This window comes from Homo sapiens, chromosome 14 (assembly GCF_000001405.40).
Source record: "Homo sapiens chromosome 14, GRCh38.p14 Primary Assembly".
Taxonomy (NCBI): domain Eukaryota; kingdom Metazoa; phylum Chordata; class Mammalia; order Primates; family Hominidae; genus Homo; species Homo sapiens.
In genome coordinates this window covers 60,467,822-60,487,853 of record NC_000014.9, presented here as the reverse complement: position 1 = coordinate 60,487,853, position 20,032 = coordinate 60,467,822, and the positions used below count along the sequence as shown (strand labels likewise).

At 34.9% G+C, this 20,032-nt stretch overlaps 1 protein-coding gene across 15 annotated transcripts in view; it reads left to right on the top strand.

Annotated features, from left to right (window-relative positions):
* The window catches only part of C14orf39 (chromosome 14 open reading frame 39), a 79,589-nt gene that overhangs the window by 27,691 nt on the left and 31,866 nt on the right, over nucleotides 1-20,032 (top strand). For 3 of the 15 annotated variants that reach the window (XR_007064008.1, XM_011536690.4, XM_011536703.3), the window contains exons 1-10: nucleotides 1,791-1,909; nucleotides 2,768-2,824; nucleotides 2,917-2,973; nucleotides 3,840-3,947; nucleotides 4,037-4,163; nucleotides 9,465-9,554; nucleotides 16,115-16,302; nucleotides 16,395-16,437; nucleotides 18,201-18,321; nucleotides 19,318-19,409. Coding sequence is in view for 14 of the 15 variants with exons in the window: in XM_011536690.4 (XP_011534992.1) it covers nucleotides 2,776-2,824; nucleotides 2,917-2,973; nucleotides 3,840-3,947; nucleotides 4,037-4,163; nucleotides 9,465-9,554; nucleotides 16,115-16,302; nucleotides 16,395-16,437; nucleotides 18,201-18,321; nucleotides 19,318-19,409 (875 nt within the window). In the remaining variant the exon portion in view is untranslated. Of the gene's footprint in view, nucleotides 1-1,790; nucleotides 2,825-2,916; nucleotides 2,974-3,839; nucleotides 3,948-4,036; nucleotides 4,164-9,464; nucleotides 9,560-16,114; nucleotides 16,303-16,394; nucleotides 16,438-18,200; nucleotides 18,322-19,317; nucleotides 19,410-20,032 lie in introns of those variants that run through there. The other 12 variants (XM_017021247.2, XM_024449555.2, NM_174978.3 and 9 more) reach the window with 12 other exon arrangements.

Genomic DNA, 20,032 nt, shown 5'->3' with positions numbered 1-20,032 from the left:
ATGCAAATCAAAACCACAATAGGATACGTCACACCTGTTAGAATGACTATGATAAAAAAGGCAACAAGTGTTGACAAGGATATGGAAAAAAGGAAAAGTTGTACACTCTTTGCGGGAATGCAAATGGGTACCGCCATTAGGGAAACAGTGAAGAGACTTCTCAAAATTTAAAAATAGAACTATCATAAGACCCAGCAATCCCACTTTTGAATACATATCCAAAGAATATAAAATCACTTTGTGGAACAGATGTCTGTGCTCTCATGTTCACTGCAACATTATTCACAATAGCCAAGATATATACTCAACCTATCCATTCATTTGTCAATGAATGGATAAACACACACACACACACACACACGGACTTTTATTCAGCTTTAACAGAGAAGGAATCTTGTCATTTGTGACCACATGGATGATGGATGAGCCTGTGGGACATTATGCTAATTGAAGTAAGTCAGGCACAGAAAGACAAATACTATATGACTTCACTTGTAGGTGGAATCTGAAAAAGCTGAGCCCATAGAAGCAGAGAGTAGAATGGTGGTTGCCAGTGGCTGGGGGAGGGAGGAGGTGGGAATGAGGAAATATGTTGGTCAAAGGGTACGAAGTTTCAGTTAGGCAGATTGAATAAGTTCTGGAGATCTAATGTACAGCATGGTGACTATAGTTAATAATACTGTATTGTGTCCTTGAAACTTGCTAAGAGAGTAGATCTTAAAGGTTCTCACCACACACACCCAAAAATGATTATATGAGGTGATGGATGTGTTATACAAATTAACTTGATCGTGGTGATCATTTCACAATGTATGTATACGTCCAAATATCATGTACGTGGTAAATACAATTTTTATTTGTCAATTATGCCTCAATAAAGCTGGAAAAACTAAGTAAAAGATTTTTCACACACACACAAAAGAATAAATCTGCTAAATTGTTACATTATCAAAACATGTTAGTTTTGTTGAATATTAATACCAACTAGTGAGCAATATGACAGCACACTATAATAAAATTGGTTATGCATATCTGATCTGAGGCACTTAAGGAAGAAAAACTTCTGAAACCTTCTTTTTCACTTAAATATTCCGTGAAACAGCTTAGGTTTTGGTGACTTGAGACAATTATTGTGATCATTTACGGTTAAAAACATTTCTACGAGAAATATACAAAGGATTGAGGCACTTTGGAGGACTGAACTGCTTAATGATTTTGTTTACACTCTTTATTTCACTTTGGATAGGCAGACAAAGCCTAAGAGCATAAATTACCTAAAGACAGCATTTTGGGCAGAAAATGTACTTTATTTGAAACTGAGCAAATGAGTCAGTCTCAAAATGTCCATTCAACTAATATGTATTTGAGTTGTGCTTGCTTTTTAAGATGTTTTGAAAAATGCTGAATTCAGAATTGAATTTTGATTATTGAATTGAGTATTTTTTACTCTTGTTAAAAGTTAATATCAATTTTATTGTTGTACTCCAAAATATTTTTAAAAACTTGTTACAAGAGGAATAAATAGGCTTTAAAAAACACTTGTCTTCAAGAAAACAGGAGAGTCTCTGACAGGTCTCTACTTCTTTGAGGGTCCTCTAACTCCAGCACCCACTTCTGTGGTTTTACGGGGCTTATTCCGCGCTTCCACCCGCGAAGAAGGAGCGGTTGCAGCCGCGCAGGTCTCGTCCAGAGCGCGATCTCGCTGCTCTTCAGCGCGATCTGCGGCTCCCGCGGCGTGCTCCGCGGGGTCTCTCAGGGCTGGTACCAGGGGCGTGGGGGCGGGGCTGAGCGAGTCCAGCCCAGGGCTCCGGGGACCGTTTGTAGTTAGGATCCGCTGTGGCGTCCTGAGTGGAGTTTGGGACCCCAGGGAGGGAGGGTGTGGGCGTTCGGGTCCAGAGGAGCTGTTTAGGTGCGTGTGGAAGGGAGCTGCATGTGGCGGTTTTTCTCTGGGCCGGCGGCTCTGAGGGGGAGCGTGTGCGTGGGTGGGAGGGGGCTGGCTGGCCCTGCCCCTCAGAGCGACCGGAGTCGCCTTATCCCCTGGGTTGGTGCGGCCCGAGGCTGAGGGCGCGGCGGGGGATGGGGGGGATGCGGTGTTGCAGCCTCGGGCGAGGGGAAGCCAGGACAGGAGGCTGTGAGGGTGGGAGTCGGCCGGCGAACTCCCACTGCGGGAGGCGCACGGGCTGTGGTTCCTGGGCTCTGAGGGGCACGGTAGACAGGAACCCCGCCTCAGGCGTATGCCGTAATGCGAATTGGCTGTTCTGTGAAAACCTCCAATTTTTTTATTCTTCGTGGTAAATTCGTAAATGCGAAATCGCACTGTTTCTCTAGGTTTACCCGGGTGTTGGGGAAGGGCTTTCGTTAGAATTTTGCTACACGTGGTTGTACACACGCCACCAAGGGACATATTCAGAGCGTTTACTTTAAAGGGCATATCCTGTGGAGAAATCTGGGTGTCCGTGAACCCTGGAAGATCCGGATGCTTGTTGCAATCCCACGCATAAGCGGTTATGCGGGTGCTTCCCACCCCATCCCCAAAACTTCAAGTCGTGCCCCGACTCAACAACGATTTCTGAAGCGCTCGTTGGGCTTGGCCCGGGAAGGGGCTGGGAATGTCGCCATGGGCTCAAGGGGGCCTCTCGTCTTCCAGTTCTGGCTCTGCCCACATGTTCCTGTGAAGAATGCTATATTGAAAAGGTCGTTACGAAATATATCCTGTTTTGCATACGACTTCAGAAAATCTTATAATTTTTTTTTTCATTTAACATAGTATCCAAGATGAATGACAGCCTGTTTGTCAGTTTGGACAGACTTTTGCTAGAATTTGGTAGGTATAAAGTGAAAAAATAGGTAGCTTTTTGTATGATCATTTGATATTTTAACAATGAATTGAAGTCACAAGATAATTATTTATTTTAGTCTTCCAGTATGAGCAAGACATAAGTACTAAAGAAGAGATGATTCAAAGAATTAATAGTAAGTAGCTTTGCATGATCAAGATATTTTAGTCTTTTAATTCCTTATGGCATATAACATACAATTGCTCTGTTTAGGGCAACTTATTGTTGGCGTTATAACTTTTGTGTCAGTTCTCTCTAGCGACAAATAAACTATTTACCCTAGACGAAATAGATGTGACTTAACTATAGTTGTTTGATAATAAACTTCTATATTCAGCATTTAATTATTTTATGAAGAATTTTGTCTTAAGTAGAAATGACCCCTTAGGTGCAGTGGAAAAGATGTTATTTTTCTCTAATAACAAGTTATTTCAAATAGTTGAGTGAAATTTTTTTTATCTTTATAGAAACCACCAGAAATCAGGGATCAAAATCGATAGATGCCACATTTTCAGGAATAATAATTCTGAAAAATAATGTTATCAGAGAAATAGCAAGGCAAATCACACAAATACTGTATAGTATTTTAAGATCCAACAAAACAACTATAAAAAATAGAGTTCTAAATTTCTTCATCGTTCTGAAAAGGTAGAGTTTGGTTATATTTTCTGCAATCAAAAAAGAATACAGAATATTAAGAATTTATTTTAATCTTTTTAAGAAATTATGTCCATTTTATCTTCTATTTAATCACTAGTAACAGAAATAAGTGAGTTGAAAGTGCGTTTAATAATTGACATAGAATTGATGAATAGAAATTTCACATTTGTCAAAAACAGAAGGCTTCTATTAGTGTCATTAACGAATAAATGTTTGCAAGAATTCATAGCATCTTAAGATACGATTGACCTTAGATATCACTGAATCTAGCCCTTTTATGTTAAAGATGAGGTACAAGGGACATTTATTTTTTCATCATTCCCAAACTGAAAATCTTCTTAGCTTCTGGCTCTAGGATCAGGCCTGGCCCTGGTTCTCTGCATTTTAGTATACGGTCCCACCCATCTCAAGCCTCGTTTCCTCTCCATTCTCTGGCTCTCTTCCTTTTAGGTAAGCTGCCATACCCATTTTTTTTCTCTATTTGTTTATTTTGAACTTATTATTTCTACATTAAGAAAATAAACATTTTCTCTTTGTAGAATGCTGTGAAGATATTAAGGAAAACAAAGTAACTATTTGTAGGATACACGAAACTATAAATGCAACAGATGAGGAAATTGATCATTACTGTAAACATAGTGAGGAGATTAAAGACAACTGTAGAAAGTGAGTATTTGAAAGAATCAATTTTCATTGCATTCTTTTATTTAGGGTTTTTGAGTTTACAGTTGAAGATACTTCCTTCAAAGTAGTATTCTGTATTAGCTAATGAATCAAGTCTTAATGTGCCTTGTTATGCCACTATGTAAAGGGATTATAGGAGGATCAGAAGAGAAATAGAACTAAACAGCTATAAGAGCTCACTAATTCAGATCCACTTAATCTAACTATAAACTTTTGAATAAGCTCAGTATATAAAATTCCTATTAAATATATTTGAAACAATTTCCATTTTTGAATTTTCAAGATCTTATTTTTGTGTGAGGGAATACGGCCTGAAGTTTTTCAAAATAAAAATATTTAATACGTTAAGAATTCTTTCAACATGGCTTCAGGTTCTGGATTCTACTAGTTAACTCTAGACATTTTGAAACAAATACATAAAAACAACAAAGACTTATTACAAATATAAATTTTCTGTACTTAGTTTTATATGGACATTGTAGTAAGTACTGTATTTTAGGATCATATTTGTTTTGAAATATTTTGTTATTCAAAATTTTAATAAGCCTTTTTTGTTTTTCCCCCATTAGTTTTTTCCCACTGGTTTTAAGAAATTATAAAAGTAACATATACCAAATACAAATGTTCAAGCAATATACACATATATGGTGCAAATAGTTTTTCCCTGCTTGCAGTTCCCGTCCCCTACCCTGTCATCCTCTGCATAGGTAATGACTCACATCCTTTTAGATCTTGAAGAGTCAACATCATTATTATGCACACCACACACACACACACACACACACACACACACCTGTCTATATAGCTGTATTTCCTTTTTACAAAAATGGACTCACTTCATTCTGCAACTTGCTTTTTAACATTTAACAATACCTAATGTAAATGGTACTGTGCATGTAATTTTATATATATTTCATTCTTTTTAACAGCTCCGTGGTATTTCTGGTATTGATGTAGCCTGTTATTTAGCCATTCCCCTATTAATGGAAATTTAGGTTATTTCCAGTCATGTACAGATATACTTCCACATATAGAGATCTATTGCTATAGAATGGGCTCCTAGAAGTGAAATTGCTAAAGAGTATGCACATTTAAACATTGGGTCGATAATACCAAACTGCTCTCCAAAAAGTTTATACCAATTTGTGCTCCCACCAACAATGTATGGGAACAAAATTTTATGCAGTAACACATTGATTGACTTATTATAAAGACTATTACTTTTATAAATAGAAAATGAATTATTAAAAAACAGTGTAGGAGAGTTCCTATTTCCTCATACTCTTGCCAACACTGGAATTGTCAGTGTTTAAATATTTTGGTAATCTGATCAGCCAAAACTTACATGTTGTTGACCATTTTCTTTTATTTTGACTTGGGTTTTATTGTAGTAGATTTTACCAGTGGTTTTCCTCAATTAGCTGCATTGGGTTGTGGAAAAGTACTAATAGTTTCCCCGTAGAACCTACCGTGTCCTAGATACACTGTACTTTGTAAAAGCTTAATTTCTGCTAGGTCTGAGGAGAGTCAGTAGGATCTGTTGATTTTAATATGTCTAAATTCATGAATACCTCTAGTTTATGGTTTCAGCATACTGGTTATGAGATTTAAATGTGAAATAAGAATCTATGAAAGTACTAGAAAAATGTAAGTGCTATATAATCTTTGAGAGAGGAAGGTCTTTCTAAATATGTCACCAAAATCAGAAACCACATAGGAAATGATGGATAAATATGACTGCACACAAATTAAAAAGAAAAATACCCTATAATGATATAAAAGACAAAAGGATAAGCTAGGAAAAGTGTCAAATAAGGATTGTTTAAAAACATAAAGTACTTGTAGAAATTAATAAGAAAAAGCAAAAGTCCTATTAGAAAAATGAGCAAAGAAGGTAAACGGGTAAATACCAAAATGAAAAAAATACACAAGTCTAATACATGTGCAGAAATGCTCAATCTTGCTAATAGTCAGAAATATCTAAATTAAAGCAATAATTAAATGCTATTATTTTTGCCTCTGAGTTTTGCTGAGATTTAAAAAAATAACACCTAGCACTGGCAAGAAATAAGAATATCAACTCGCATACACTGTAGGAGTGTACAGTAGTATAAATCTTTTAGATGACATGCCAGTATATATTTTAAAAGCTTTAAAAATAAGCATGATTTAAAAAAAAATAGAGATGGAGTCTCACTATGTTGCTCAGGCTGGTCTCGAACTCCTGGACTCAAGTGATCCTCCCACTTCGGCCTCCCAAAGTGCTGGGATTATACATGTGAGCCACTGCGCCTGGCCCAAGCATAAATTTTGATTAAGTGATTCCATTTCTGAGAATTTTTCATAAGGAAATAGAGATCCTCTCAAAGATGTAATGTACAACCAAATGTTTATGTCAGTCTTTTTTTTCCATACACAGAACATTTTTACAATTTATTTTTAATTGAAAAATAATTATGTATGTTTAGATCAAAATGTGATATTTTGATCTATGTGTACATTGTTGAAAGAAGCTAATTAAGATATTCATCACCTTACCAACTTATTTTTTTGTGATGAGAATATTAAAAAGCTCATTTTTCTAGCATATTCGAAATATATATTATTTAACTGTAGTCACTATACGGTGCAGTAGATCACTAATTTTTTTTCCTCCACTCCAACTTAAACTTTGTGTTCTTTGATCAACATCTTCCCTTTCCCCATTTTTTCTTTACCTCAACCCCACCTCTGGTAACCACCTTTCTACTCTCTGTTTATATGAGATTGACTTTTTTAGATACTACATATAACTGAGATCATACAGTATTTGCCATTACCTGCCTGGCTTATTTCACTTAGCATAACATCCTTTAGTTCCATTTATGTTGTCTTGAATGACAGAATTTCCTACTTTTTTTCAGGCTGTATAGTATTTCATAGTGTATCTATGCCACACTTTCATTATCCATCATCTCTTGTGGAACACTTAGGTTGCTTCCATACCTTGATATTATGAATAATGCTAAAATGAACATGGGAGGGCAGATATCTCTTCGATGTACTGATTTCGTTTCCTTTGGACGAATACTCAAAAGTGGGATGGCTGGATCATATGGTAATTCTATTTTTAGTTTTTTGAGGACCTGCCATACTATTTTCTGAAGTAGCTGTACTAGTTTACACTTCCACCAACAGTGTCCAAGAGTTTCCTTTTCTCCACATCCTCCCCAACACTTGTTGTTATTCACCTTTTTTATTTTTTGAGATGGAGTTTCACTCTTGTCACCCAGGCTGGAGTGCAATGGCGCGATCTCACTCACTGCGACCTCCTCCCTCCACCTCCTGGGTTCAAGTGATTCTCCTGTCTCAGCCTTCCGAGTAGCTGGGATTACAGGCATGCACCACCATGCCCAGCTAATTTTTGTATTTTTAATAGAGACAGGGTTTCACCATATTGGCCAGGCTGGTCTTGAACTCCTGACCTCAGGTGATATGCCTGCCTTACCCTTCCAAAGTAATGGGATTACAGGTGTGGGCCACCGCACCCAGCCTTATTCATCTTTTTGATAACAGCCATTCTAACAGGAGTGAGGTAATATCTTATTTTGGTTTTAATTTGAATTCCCCTGATGATTAGAGGCATTGAGCATTTTTTCATATATCTGTTGGCCATTTGTATCTCTTCTTTGAGAAATGTCTATTCAGATCCTTTGCCCATTGAAAATGTCAGGTTATTTATTTTTTCTATTAAGTTGAGTTCCATTTCAGCCTTTTTATAATGATAGGAAATATTGGGAGCAACTCTAATGTTCAGCATTAGGGAACTGGTTAAATGAGTTTTGGTATATCCATATGAATGAACATTAGGCAGCCAGTGAAATTGTGATATAGGTGTATATTTATGGATATGGGAAGATGTTAACAGTAAAGGAAGGTTTTTAAAAAGCAAGGTCTGCAACTTGCTTTTTAAAGTTACAAATTGGTCAAAGCAGATTAAAAAACAATATTCATAATATTAAGCTAATTTAGTAATTGTATATTTATATATAATTACAAAAAGTCTAGAAGGATGTACATCAAAAGGCTTATAGTGAATGCCTTCTCAATGAACATGTATGTTTTATGGAATTTTAAAATAATTCCAATTTTTATTTTAGATTCAGGGGCACTTGTGCAAGTTTATGAGATAGTTATATTGTGTAATGCAGAGGTTTGGGGTACAACTGATCCCATCACCCAGGTAGCGAGAGCATAGTACTCAATAGTTTTTCACCTCTTCCCCCTCTACTAGTTTCCAGTGTCTACTGTTGCTATCTTTATGACCATGAGTATTTATGACATTTAAAAATATTGAGAATATATGTATGTATAATTTTTGATCTTCTAATTTCATTTTGGAGAATATTTTCTAAGGAAATGATCAGAAATTCAGATATATTTAAGTACAAGTTCTGTTACTAAGTGATAAAGGAGGATAAGCTCTCAATGATGTTAAAATGTATAATTATAGTAACATCTGGAAACAATTTATTAAAACAATAATAGTCATTATTCAATATTGAGAATATGATTAATAGTTATTTTCTTACACATACTTTTCTGTGCTTCCAAATTGGGCATGTATACTTTTTGAATCTGAAAAAAAAGTTAGAAAAAAGGCAATATTTGAAAAATACTTACACTGGAAGCCGCCATGGTATATATTAATTTTATATTTTTTTGTATTGGTAATATTCTTTCAAGTTACATAATAAAAAATGTATAAGATGAATATTTGTTATATTCCTATTGTCTGATTTTGTAATTCATTTGCTCTGGTTTCTCTTTTTTTTGTAATTCAGGATGATGTGACACCTGTTTTCTAAGTGTTAAAGGAGCAAAAAAACCTCTCTTTAGCCCTTATTCTAGTTCTTTGAATGCTTACTCCAAAAGAATTTTTTTGACCAAAATCTTAGAAATGTAATGAGAAAGAAAGGCTGATATTGGAGTGTTACAGAGTGTATAATAGAAATGCAATAGCAATACACAATCCAGCCATGTCACATTTGCTCCTTCCCTAGTAATGGTTCAAAAACAAGTTTAATATAAAAATTCATGAATATTGATATTCGAGCATAATAGTCCTTGAATGGAGGTAGTGGGAGTGATATGAGATGGAAATACTTTTCTTGATGTAAGCTTGTTTTCTCCAGGAAGAGAAAGATTCGTTTCTCTTTAAATAATTATGTTCTTTTTTTTATTATCTCTATCAATTTGTTTATCATTCTGAGTTGCTAATTACAAATATATTTTTTTCTATAGCTGGAAGCCAACATGTGATGTTTTTCGTAAACATGAAGATTATATGCAGGACCAATTTACTGTTTATCAAGGAACTGTTGAAAAAGACAAGTATAGTACTTATATGAAGTTTATCAATTCTATAAGTTTGTATTATTAGGACATGGTGTGTAAGAATGTCAGTTGAAAAATGTAGACATTTTGTACTCAAGGAGTTTCTTTTTTTTTTTTTGAGATGGAGTCTCGCTCTGTCCCCCAGGCTGGAGTGCAGTGGCATGATCTTGGCTCACTGCAAGCTCTGCCTCCCGGGTTCACGCCATTCTTTTGCCTCAGCCTCCCAAGTAGCTGGGACTACAGGCGCCCGCCACCGCACCCGGCTAATTTTGTGTATTTTTAGTAGAGACGGGGTTTCACCATGTTAGCCAGGATGGTCTCGATCTCCTGACCTCGTGATCTGCCCGCCTCGGCCTTCCAAAGTGCTGGGATTACAGGCATGACCCACCATGCCCAGCCAGGAGTTTTTGTTTTTAAGTAAATGTAGTGTTTTGGACTCCTTGGGTGCAGTGGAACATCTACCTACTTGTTGTAAAGCTCTCTCTAATCCTAGATATATTTAGATATGGCCTTAGATATAAACTGTTTCTCAGTGGCAATTATTATAGCAGAGTCCATCAATTAATGGTCTTTATGAGTGAACTGTTTAGGCAAACATCTCGGGGAATAGTTACCTGTAGAATTAGCTTATAACAAATTTGGGATATTGATTTCTGAATGGTATTTTATATCAAACTTCTGTTTTTTAGACAGCTGATTTAATGGAGTGGTTATATTCTAATAGAGAAACACCAATAATTGTATGAATTTATTTTATTATATGTATAATCACATTGTCTTGGGGATTAAATATAATTAGTGAATGTAATGAAACAAGACAAGAGACTTTGAACACATTATATAGCATAAAAATTTCACCTAATATAAGACATTGAAATGTTTTTATTTTTAATATAATTGGATGAGAACAGTATCTATTTTTATATTGTAACTAAAACGTGCAAAATCTAGAATGCAATACTCTATATATTCAAAGACAAGTCTTAAGAAAAGGTAGGGACTAAAGTTATAGATATAGACTTCATTTTGAAATCATGGAAATACATGAGATTGCCCATGGAAATGTATGGAGCAAAAAGAGGAGAAAGCTGGAGTACGCCATCATCTAGAGGGTAGGCAGAGGGTGGGATCAGTGAAGGAGACTTGTCTTGTCATTTATACATCCTGCTTCATTTAAAAAAGAATTTTAGATGATTTGACTAAATAATCATCTTGAAAGGATAGTGTTTAAAGAAACTAGATTAAAAATCAAGGCTGCAGGGAAGTAAGGAAAATATAGGAAGTTGAAGCCTTTGATGAAGTTAGAAATTCATACTATGTATCCCGCACATTTGTTAGATATAGGCACGAATTAAGCTTTCAAATTCCTAGTAGTCAAGGCATTGTGGAAATATAATCAGTGTGGGATTCATAATATTCATTTAAAAAAACAGGTCAATTGCTTAGGATAAGTAGAGGCTTTTCCTGAGGTTTGAGAGAAATTTCTCCTCTGGGTCCTCTAAAGGGGAAATTGTGCAGTGTGCTTCAGTGACCTCCCCCAGCCCCAAACACAGTATATATAACTGCTTCTTATAGCATCTGTCAATGTAAGTCATGACTATAAAACATTAATTCTTAAAAATGATTCTGTGAGAGGCTAAAGCAAACCAGTTAAAATATGTACTTCTCTAACAGTGTTTGTTATAGAGGACTTCTGTGAGCTAACTGAAGGTATTAAAGTGAAAACAGTTGTCTGTTTCTTTCTTAAACCAGCTACATAGCTTAATTGAATTGATGCTTCAATACCAGGCATTTATAAATGGAAAATAACTCATTTGTTGGTTTCATGGATAATGGAGGAAGTAGAGGCACCAATTACTTGTTTCTCCTAATCTCCCATCCCTGTTCAAGTCATTCATGAAAAACAGTATTGCTGGCTTAGATGAGATAATAATGGCTCTTGTTTAACTATGACTTAGCTATGCTAGGCTCTGCCAGAGTTTCTATATGGAGTATGTTAGAAGAGTGAGCATGAATATACAGTATGAATAGGGTGGATGTGGCATAGTCATCTCACCTGGAACTGGTGACCCAGGCTTAATTTTCTTATAGGTATTTCTTCCCTGGACCATTTTTCCCAAGCGATTAAATAGTAAGTGGGTCTTAATTAGCAAATATGCGTTTAGAGGAATAGGAGCTTGTTTGGGGCTCAACTGCTTTTCCTTGCTAAAGGGGACAGTTTAGTAATATTCAGAAATTAAAACTTTCTTAAGATTCAGACCCGCTGACTAGCACAGGGCTGTTATCCTTACTTTTCTTCTCATGTGTGCAGTTTTTGAAACTTGCTCTTTTCTAATCTGCTAAGGTGAGATAATCCTCAGGGTATCTTTTAAGAAACTCCCCCATAGAGTATACCTTGATCCAAGAAATGAGAAAATCTTGAGGAATGTAAGGACTATATATTTTCAAAAATTTTTCTACGAATTTTTTTGAAACTAAGTATTTGATAAGAATTGGGGAAAAAGAAGATTTAAGAATATATTTTCTATAAAGAACTGGATTTAACATTTTCAATGTTTTCGATTAGAGTTGGCAAGCTTTTTTGGTAAAGGACCAGATAGTAAGTATTAATATTTTAACCTTTGTGGGCCAACATCTGCCATGACTACTCCACTCTCCTATTATGGCACGAGAGAATTTCAGATAATATGTAAATAAATGAGCTATGCTCTAATAAAACTTTATTTATGGATACTGAAGTTTAAATTTCATATAATTTTAATGTGTTATGGAATATTCTTTTGATTTTTTCAATAATTTAAACATGTAAAAATCATTCATAGTTCATGGGCTGTACAAAAATAGGTGGCAGATTAGATTTGGCCCATAGACCATCATAATTTTGATTCTTGTAGAATCGAGCACAGGTCAAATAAGAAAAAAAGGTTATTTGAACGGTTTTTTGTGTAGGAGCCGGTTTTTTGAAAAGATAAAATTGATAGACCGCCAGCAAGACTAATGAAGAAAAGACAGAAGAATCAAATAGATGCAATAAAAGATGATAAAGGGGATATCACCACCGATCCCACAGAAATACAAACTACCATCAGAGCATACTATAAACACCTCTATGCAAATAAACTAGAAAATCTAGAAGAAATGGATAAATTCCTCGACACATACACTCTCCCAAGACTAAACCAGGAAGAAGTTGAATCTCTGAATAGACCAATAACAGGCTCTGAAATTGAGGAAATAATTAATAGTTTACCAACCAAAAAAGTCCAGGACCAGATGGATTCACAGCTGAATTCTACCAGAGGTACAAGGAGGAGCTGGTACCATTCCTTCTGAAACTCTTCCAATCAATAGAAAAAGAGGGAATCCTCCCTAACTCATTTTATGAGGCCAGCATCATCCTGATACCAAAGCCTGGTGAAGACACAACAAAAAAAGAGAATTTTAGACCAAAATCCCTGATGAACATCCCTGCAAAAATCCTCAATAAAATACTGGCAAACCGAATCCAGCAGCACATCAAAAAGCTTATCCACCATGATCAAGTGGGCTTCATCCCTGGGATGCAAGGCTGGTTCAACATATGCAAATCAATAAATGTAATCCAGCATCTAAACAGAACCAACAACAAAAACCACATGATTATCTCAATAGGTGCAGAAAAGGCCTTTGATAAAATTCAACAACGCTTCATGCTAAAAACTATCAATAAATTAGGTATCGATGGGACGTATCTCAAAATAATAAGAGCTATTTATGACAAACCCACAGCCAATATAATACTGAATGGGCAAAAACTGGAAGCATTCCCTTTGAAAACTGGCACAAGACAGGGATACCCTCTCTCACCACTCCTATTCAACATAGTGTTGGAAGTTCTGGCCAGGGCAATCAGGCAGGAGAAAGAAATAAATGGTATTCAATTAGGAAAAGAGGAAGTCAAATTGTCCCTGTTTGCAGATGACATGATTGTATATCTAGAAAACACCATTGTCTCAGCCCAAACTCTCCTTAAGCTGGTAGACAACTTCAGCAAAGTCTCAGGATACAAAATCAATGTGCAAAAATCACAAGCATTCTTATACACCAATAACAGACAAACAGCCAAATCACGAGTGAACTCCCATTCACAATTGCTTCAAAGAGAATAAAATACCTAGGAATCCAACTTAGAAGGGATATGAAGGACTTCTTCAAGGAGAACTACAAACCACTGCTCAATGAAATAAAAGAGGACACAAACAAATGGAAGAACATTCCATGCTCATGGGTAGGAAGAATCAATATCGTGAAAATGGCCATACTGCCCAAGGTAATTTATAGATTCAATGCCATCCCCATCAAGCTACCAATGACTTTCATCACAGAGTTGGAAAAAACTACTTTTAAAGTTCATATGGAACCACAAAAGAGCCTGCATTGCCTAGTCAATCCTAAGCCAAAAGAACAAAGCTGGAGGCATCACACTACCTGACTTCAAACTATACTACAAGGCTACAGCAACCAAAACAACATGGTACTGGTACCAAAAGAGAGATACAGACCAATGGAACAGAACAGAGCCCTGAGAAATAATGCCGCATATCTACAACTATCTGATCTTTGACAACCCTGACAAAAACAAGAAATGGGGAAAGGATTCCCTATTTAATAAATGGTGCTGGGAAAACTGGCTAGCCATATGTAGAAAGCTGAAACTGGATCCCTTCCTTACGCCTTATACAAAAATTAATTCAAGATGGATTAAAGACTTACATGTTAGACCTAAAACCATGAAACCCTAGGAGAAAACCTAGGCAATACCATTCAGGTCATAGGCTGGGCAAGGACTTCATGTCTAAAACACCAAAAGCAATGGCAACAAAAGCCAAAATTGACAATTGGGATCTAATTAAAGTAAAGAGCTTCTGCACAGCAAAAGAAACTACCATCAGAGTGAACAGGCAACCTACAGAATGGGAGAAAATTTTTGCAATCTACTCATCTGAGAAAGGGCTGATATCCAGAATCTATAATGAACTTAAACAAATTTATAAGAAAAAACAAAGAACGCCATCAAAAAGTGGGTGAAGGATATGAACAGACACTTCTCAAAAGAAGACATTTATGCAGCCAAAAGACACATGAAAAAATGCTCATCATCACTGGCCATCGGAGAAATGAAAATCAAAATTACAATGAGATACCATCTCACACCAGTTAGAATGGCGATCATTAAAAAGTCAGGAAACAACAGGTGCTGGAGAGGATGTGGGGAAATAGGAACACTTTTACACTGTTGGTGGGACTGTAAACTAGTTCAACCATTGTGGAAGTCAGTGTGGCAATTCCTCAGGGATCTAGAACTAGAATTACCGTTTGACCCAGCCATCCCATTACTGGGTATATACCCAAAGGATTATAAATCATGCTGCTATAAAGACACATGCACACGTATGTTTATTGCGGCACTATTCACAATAGCAAAGACTTGGAACCAAGCCAAATGTCCAACAATGGTAGACTGGATTAAGAAAATGTGGCACATATACATCATGGAATACTATGCAGCCATAAAAAATGATGAGTTCATGTCCTTTGTAGGGACAAGGATGAAGCTGGAAACCATCATTCTCAGCAAACTATTATTGCAAGGACAAAAAAGCAAACACTGCATATTCTCACTCGTAGGTGGGAATTGAACAATGAGAACACATGGACACAGGAAGGGGAACATCACACCCCGGGGCCTGTTGTGGGGAGGGGGTAGGAGGGAGAGATAGCATTAGGAGATATATCTAATGCTAAATGACGAGTTAATGGGTGCAGCACACCAACATGGCACATGTATACATATGTAACAAACCTGCACGTTGTGCACATATACCCTAAAACTTAAAAGTATAATAAAAAAGAAAAAAAGGTTAATGTCCTTTTTCAAGAATTAACTGTCTCACTCAAGATTTGTGCCTAAATAGATGACCATCCACTACTATTGGAGCTGGAGTAGAGTTCTTCTAAACTGTGATAAAATTTTCTTCATAAAATAGTTACGGGGTACATTTGATGGTGAACACAAGAGTTCTAATACATAGAACATGACTTCATGTGATAATTTTAGCTAATGAAAATTGAAGATTAAAAAGATATGGTTTTAGAAGTAGCTGAGCTTGGGAGAGTAGAGACTCAGAAGCCAGGGAAGATAGAGGTTCCACAAGGAGTAAGTGATCAGAAGAACCAGGTTCTGCAGTGTCAATTAGGATGAGTGCTAAAAAGAGATCATTCAGTTGGACAAATTTGATCATTGGTGACCTTGGGAAGAATAGCGTCATTAAAATAGTGGGAGTAGGAGTTAAAATGAATAGAATTAAGAAGTGAATCACTCAGGTAATGAAGAAAAAGAGTCAAGTTGAGAAGTGTGGTGGAGTTAAGGAAAGTCTAAAGGGCAGACAATATTGAGGGAAGCAAGAATAAGAAGACATTTGATTTGCCTTTTATGTTTAGTAGACTTTAACAGTGTATTCACAAAGTTTTTAGATCTGTTGTTGTTATATAAACATCATTTCTTTTAATTTTAACAGAGAAATGTATCATGATTATATATGTCAGTATAAAGAAGTTTTGAAGCAGTACCAACTAAAATACTCAGAAACACCCTTTTCACGTGAATATTATGAGAAGAAAAGAGAACATGAAGAAATTCAAAGCAGAGTGTTGGCATGTACTGAACAATTAAAAATGAATGAAACAATTTTTATGAAATTTCGAGGTATTAATATTTTTGTTATATTGTTTTAATTATGATATCTTTGTAATGAAAAGAATATAATAATCAGCTTATGCTGTGACTTTATTTTTCAGTGCCTGCTCCCTTTCCATCACTTACTAAATGGACTTTAAACATGTATCCACAATAGTATTTGTACTTATAATTTTTATTAGATAAGCATTATTTTGTATTTTAATTGTTACTGTGTTTCCTTTGTGAGAATAACATGGATTTGTTTTGTGTTTAATTAAAATATTTAAAAAGTAATTTTAAAGGTCATCTTGGATTCATTTTCATGTATATTCATGTGATCAGAAGCAAGCAACTTTGGTGAGAATAAAATGGCATATGTATTTGGGTTTAAGTGGCGTGTCTTAGGAACCAAACCAATGAAAATGTTATATTGGTCTGTCTTACCAAAGAAAATTCCAGTTAAATTGCTTATTACTTGTTAGAATGGAAGGTGCAAAGGAGGTGAGTTACATTTATTCATTCATCACTGGAAACCTACCTTATGCCAGGCAATACTGAAGACGATACAGAGCTCTCTTCCAAGGAGCTCTGGGTTTAGTAGGGAAGACTGACATGTAAATAAATAATTCTAATACAGTACCACTGTAATAGATGCCTAAGTAATTCTTAATTGGTCTAAGTCTCACCTGTTTGTCAGAGAGATCTTCCCTGATGATGAACTTGAAACTTTAATCCTCTTTCAACCTCCACAATCCTTCATATGCTTTCCTATCAGATTATAACTCCACTGTTTGTACTAAGTCTTCTTTATCCCCACATCCTACCTTGCTTTCTGTCTGCTTCATTCTAAACCATCCTTTTAACTCTTCTGCTGCTAGCTTTTTCCATGTTTTGGTTTTAGTCTCTTCTGTTTTTTGTTGTTCATTTGCTGCCCATTTGCGCTTTAACTTCTCAGTGGGAAGGGGCCAAAGTTAGTAGACGCTGGTATAGCAAGGGTTTAGGGAGTTGGATGTGGAATGGGATGACATATAAGGTTGCATGACAAACAGGAAGAGGTGAATGGAGGTAGGAAGATTTGAAGATTAGGATTTAATTATCTGTACCTAACATTTTAATGGAAACTTGATAATAATAGACTTATAAATCATGATTCACTTGAAATTTTATATTCTAGCATATAAATCATGCATATTTTAAGGCAGAATAGGAAAGCCCTGATTAATCTTCTCTGGAATTCTTGTTAACTGTCACTATTCTATCATTTTCAAATTCTCCTAAATGGATTATAATTTAGGACATTGTATTAGCTAATAACCACGTGGAATGTATTAATAGCTGAGGATTTTTTACTTGAAATTGGGCACAAATCCAGTTCAAGTAGAAAGTCCAAGTCGAAGATCTGCCTGTCTTTTGAGTTCTGTAGGGTACACTGATGAGCCTTACAGAGCAAGAAAAGGGAAATTTGGTCGATTTTGTTTTTCTCCAGCATACTGTTGTTGGCTTGAAATGGGTATACTTTAAATATTGTCTTTGAACAAATAAATAATGGAAGCATAAGAAGTTAAATTTGGGCCTGAATTATGTTTTATTAGTTATGCCAAGTGACACAATGAACTTTGATTTAAAAAGCAAAAAAAAAAAAAAAAAAACTACCCTGTGAAAATACTTAACTGAAATAATCCTAACAAATATTTTGTATGAAATGTTTTTTTAAGCTCAGTATATAACATAAACAATAAATTATCTGTTAGTCTGCCAAATGTTTATATTATTCTCCTGTTTTCAGATACTGTTTTTAATATTGCTTACTGTTTATATGAAACATACATATAAATGATGTCACATAATATTAATCATTTCTGATATGGCACATATATTATAAATATAAAATTTACTTATATGACATAGTTCCTTAACATAAAAAGTGTTAATTTGAGATGTGAAACACAAGATATTCTTAAACATGCCAGCAATCTTACCAAAAGTTCATCCGAATTGAAGAAAGAAGTAGATGAAATGGAAATAGAAATTAATTATTTAAACCAGGTATATATTTTGTTATATATTTCTAATATGTGTATTAATGTATAAGTATAATGGTATGTTAGTTGACAGTTTTAGAAGAGCTATTTTTAAGAGAGCCTAATGTGGAGAAAGGTTTAAGATAATTTAGATTACCTTTGGAGCCAAAAGGTATTTTAGGTACTGAATATATTAATTTATATTTTTTATTAATTTTATTAATATATTTTATATTAATTTGTATATAATTTAATATATATATTTAGGTACTGAATATATTTTGGGGAATAGTTTAGCTTTCTTTGAGGTCTGAGGAGAGAACATGAGGAAGGAATAAGATGCAACATAGTAACAGGATTTTAAAGGCATTAAAAGATCTACGCCAGTGTTTTTTAAAAAGGTAGTAAATAAAGAATTTAAACTTGAAAAATATATGACTATAATCTTTAGCGAGCTAGGCTAGAACTAGTTTAGCCTTTAAACTTTTCTTGGAAACATTTGGATGTCATCCATGAAATTGTGGCTTTTATTTACATAGCTATGATAACCCATCAAAGTCGCTTCCAAATTCTGAGAAAAATTTGACTATGATACCTGATTTTCTAAATTTTTGAAAATTATGTTAAATACTGTATACTTATCTTTCATTAAGTATGAGGTACCAAATAACAGTAATATCATTTTAGTAAACAGAAGAAAGTAGATGCCATTTCCTTTAAAATATATGGTAACTGTCCTTAATGTAAGGAATCAATGTCTACTTTGCTTATAATTATCTGTTTTTAAAAAGATGGGAGTTTGTTAAAATCTACATTTGCCAATGGAATTGTAAGGAAAAGTTAAACGGGTGTGATTTATTGTTAATTTTGTTTTTGTTTTAATAACTGTAAATAGAAGATAGTAAATGCTATCAAAAATATGAATCTTATGATTATATAGAAAAAACATAAGATAAAGCATATCTTTTTTTACTGCTTTGCAAGTAATTATTTTGTTTTGTGTTCCCAATTGTCTTTTTAGCAGATATCTAGGCATAATGAAACTAAGGCTCTTTCAGAAACTCTGGAAGAAAAGAACAAAAATACAGAAAACAGAAAAGAACTGAAAGAAAGGTATAGGTAACCTTTAAAATTAAATTTTATGTGAACAGATATTTTGCATCTAAAAGTTTGATTCTATATTCCATCCCAAACCACTAATATTTACACAGTATCTGTAAATTTTGTTGTGCAGGCTATTTTCTATTAATTTCTTATGAAAAATATTATTAAATATTATGAGCTAATACTAAAATCTGCTTGTTATTTAGTAAGGCTGAGGATAATGTGTAAAGAGAAATAGAGTAGCAGCAGCACATCTGCTGTTCTAGAACCTGTCAGTTGTATAATTCATCCAGTGTTTTCCATGATGGGCCAGCAATAGGAGTAAAACAGAAACAATGGTGGGAATAGCAAGGTATTTACTTTTTTATCACCCTGTCCACCTTGACCAGTTCTTCCTTTGCTATAGAGTGAAGATGAGTCAAAGCATGCTACTAAATGTGTGGCATCATATTTCCTTGTCTTTTGTTTTAATGGCGATAAAATAGAGATCAGTGATAGAGGCCAAAAAAAAAAATAGATGGACTTTGCCTGTTATCATATGACAGAAAAATAGATGTATTACTATTGCTATTTCTGACCAGCTTTTACTTTTTCCCCCTACTTATATCCTTTTTCATTCTTCTGAAACTCCT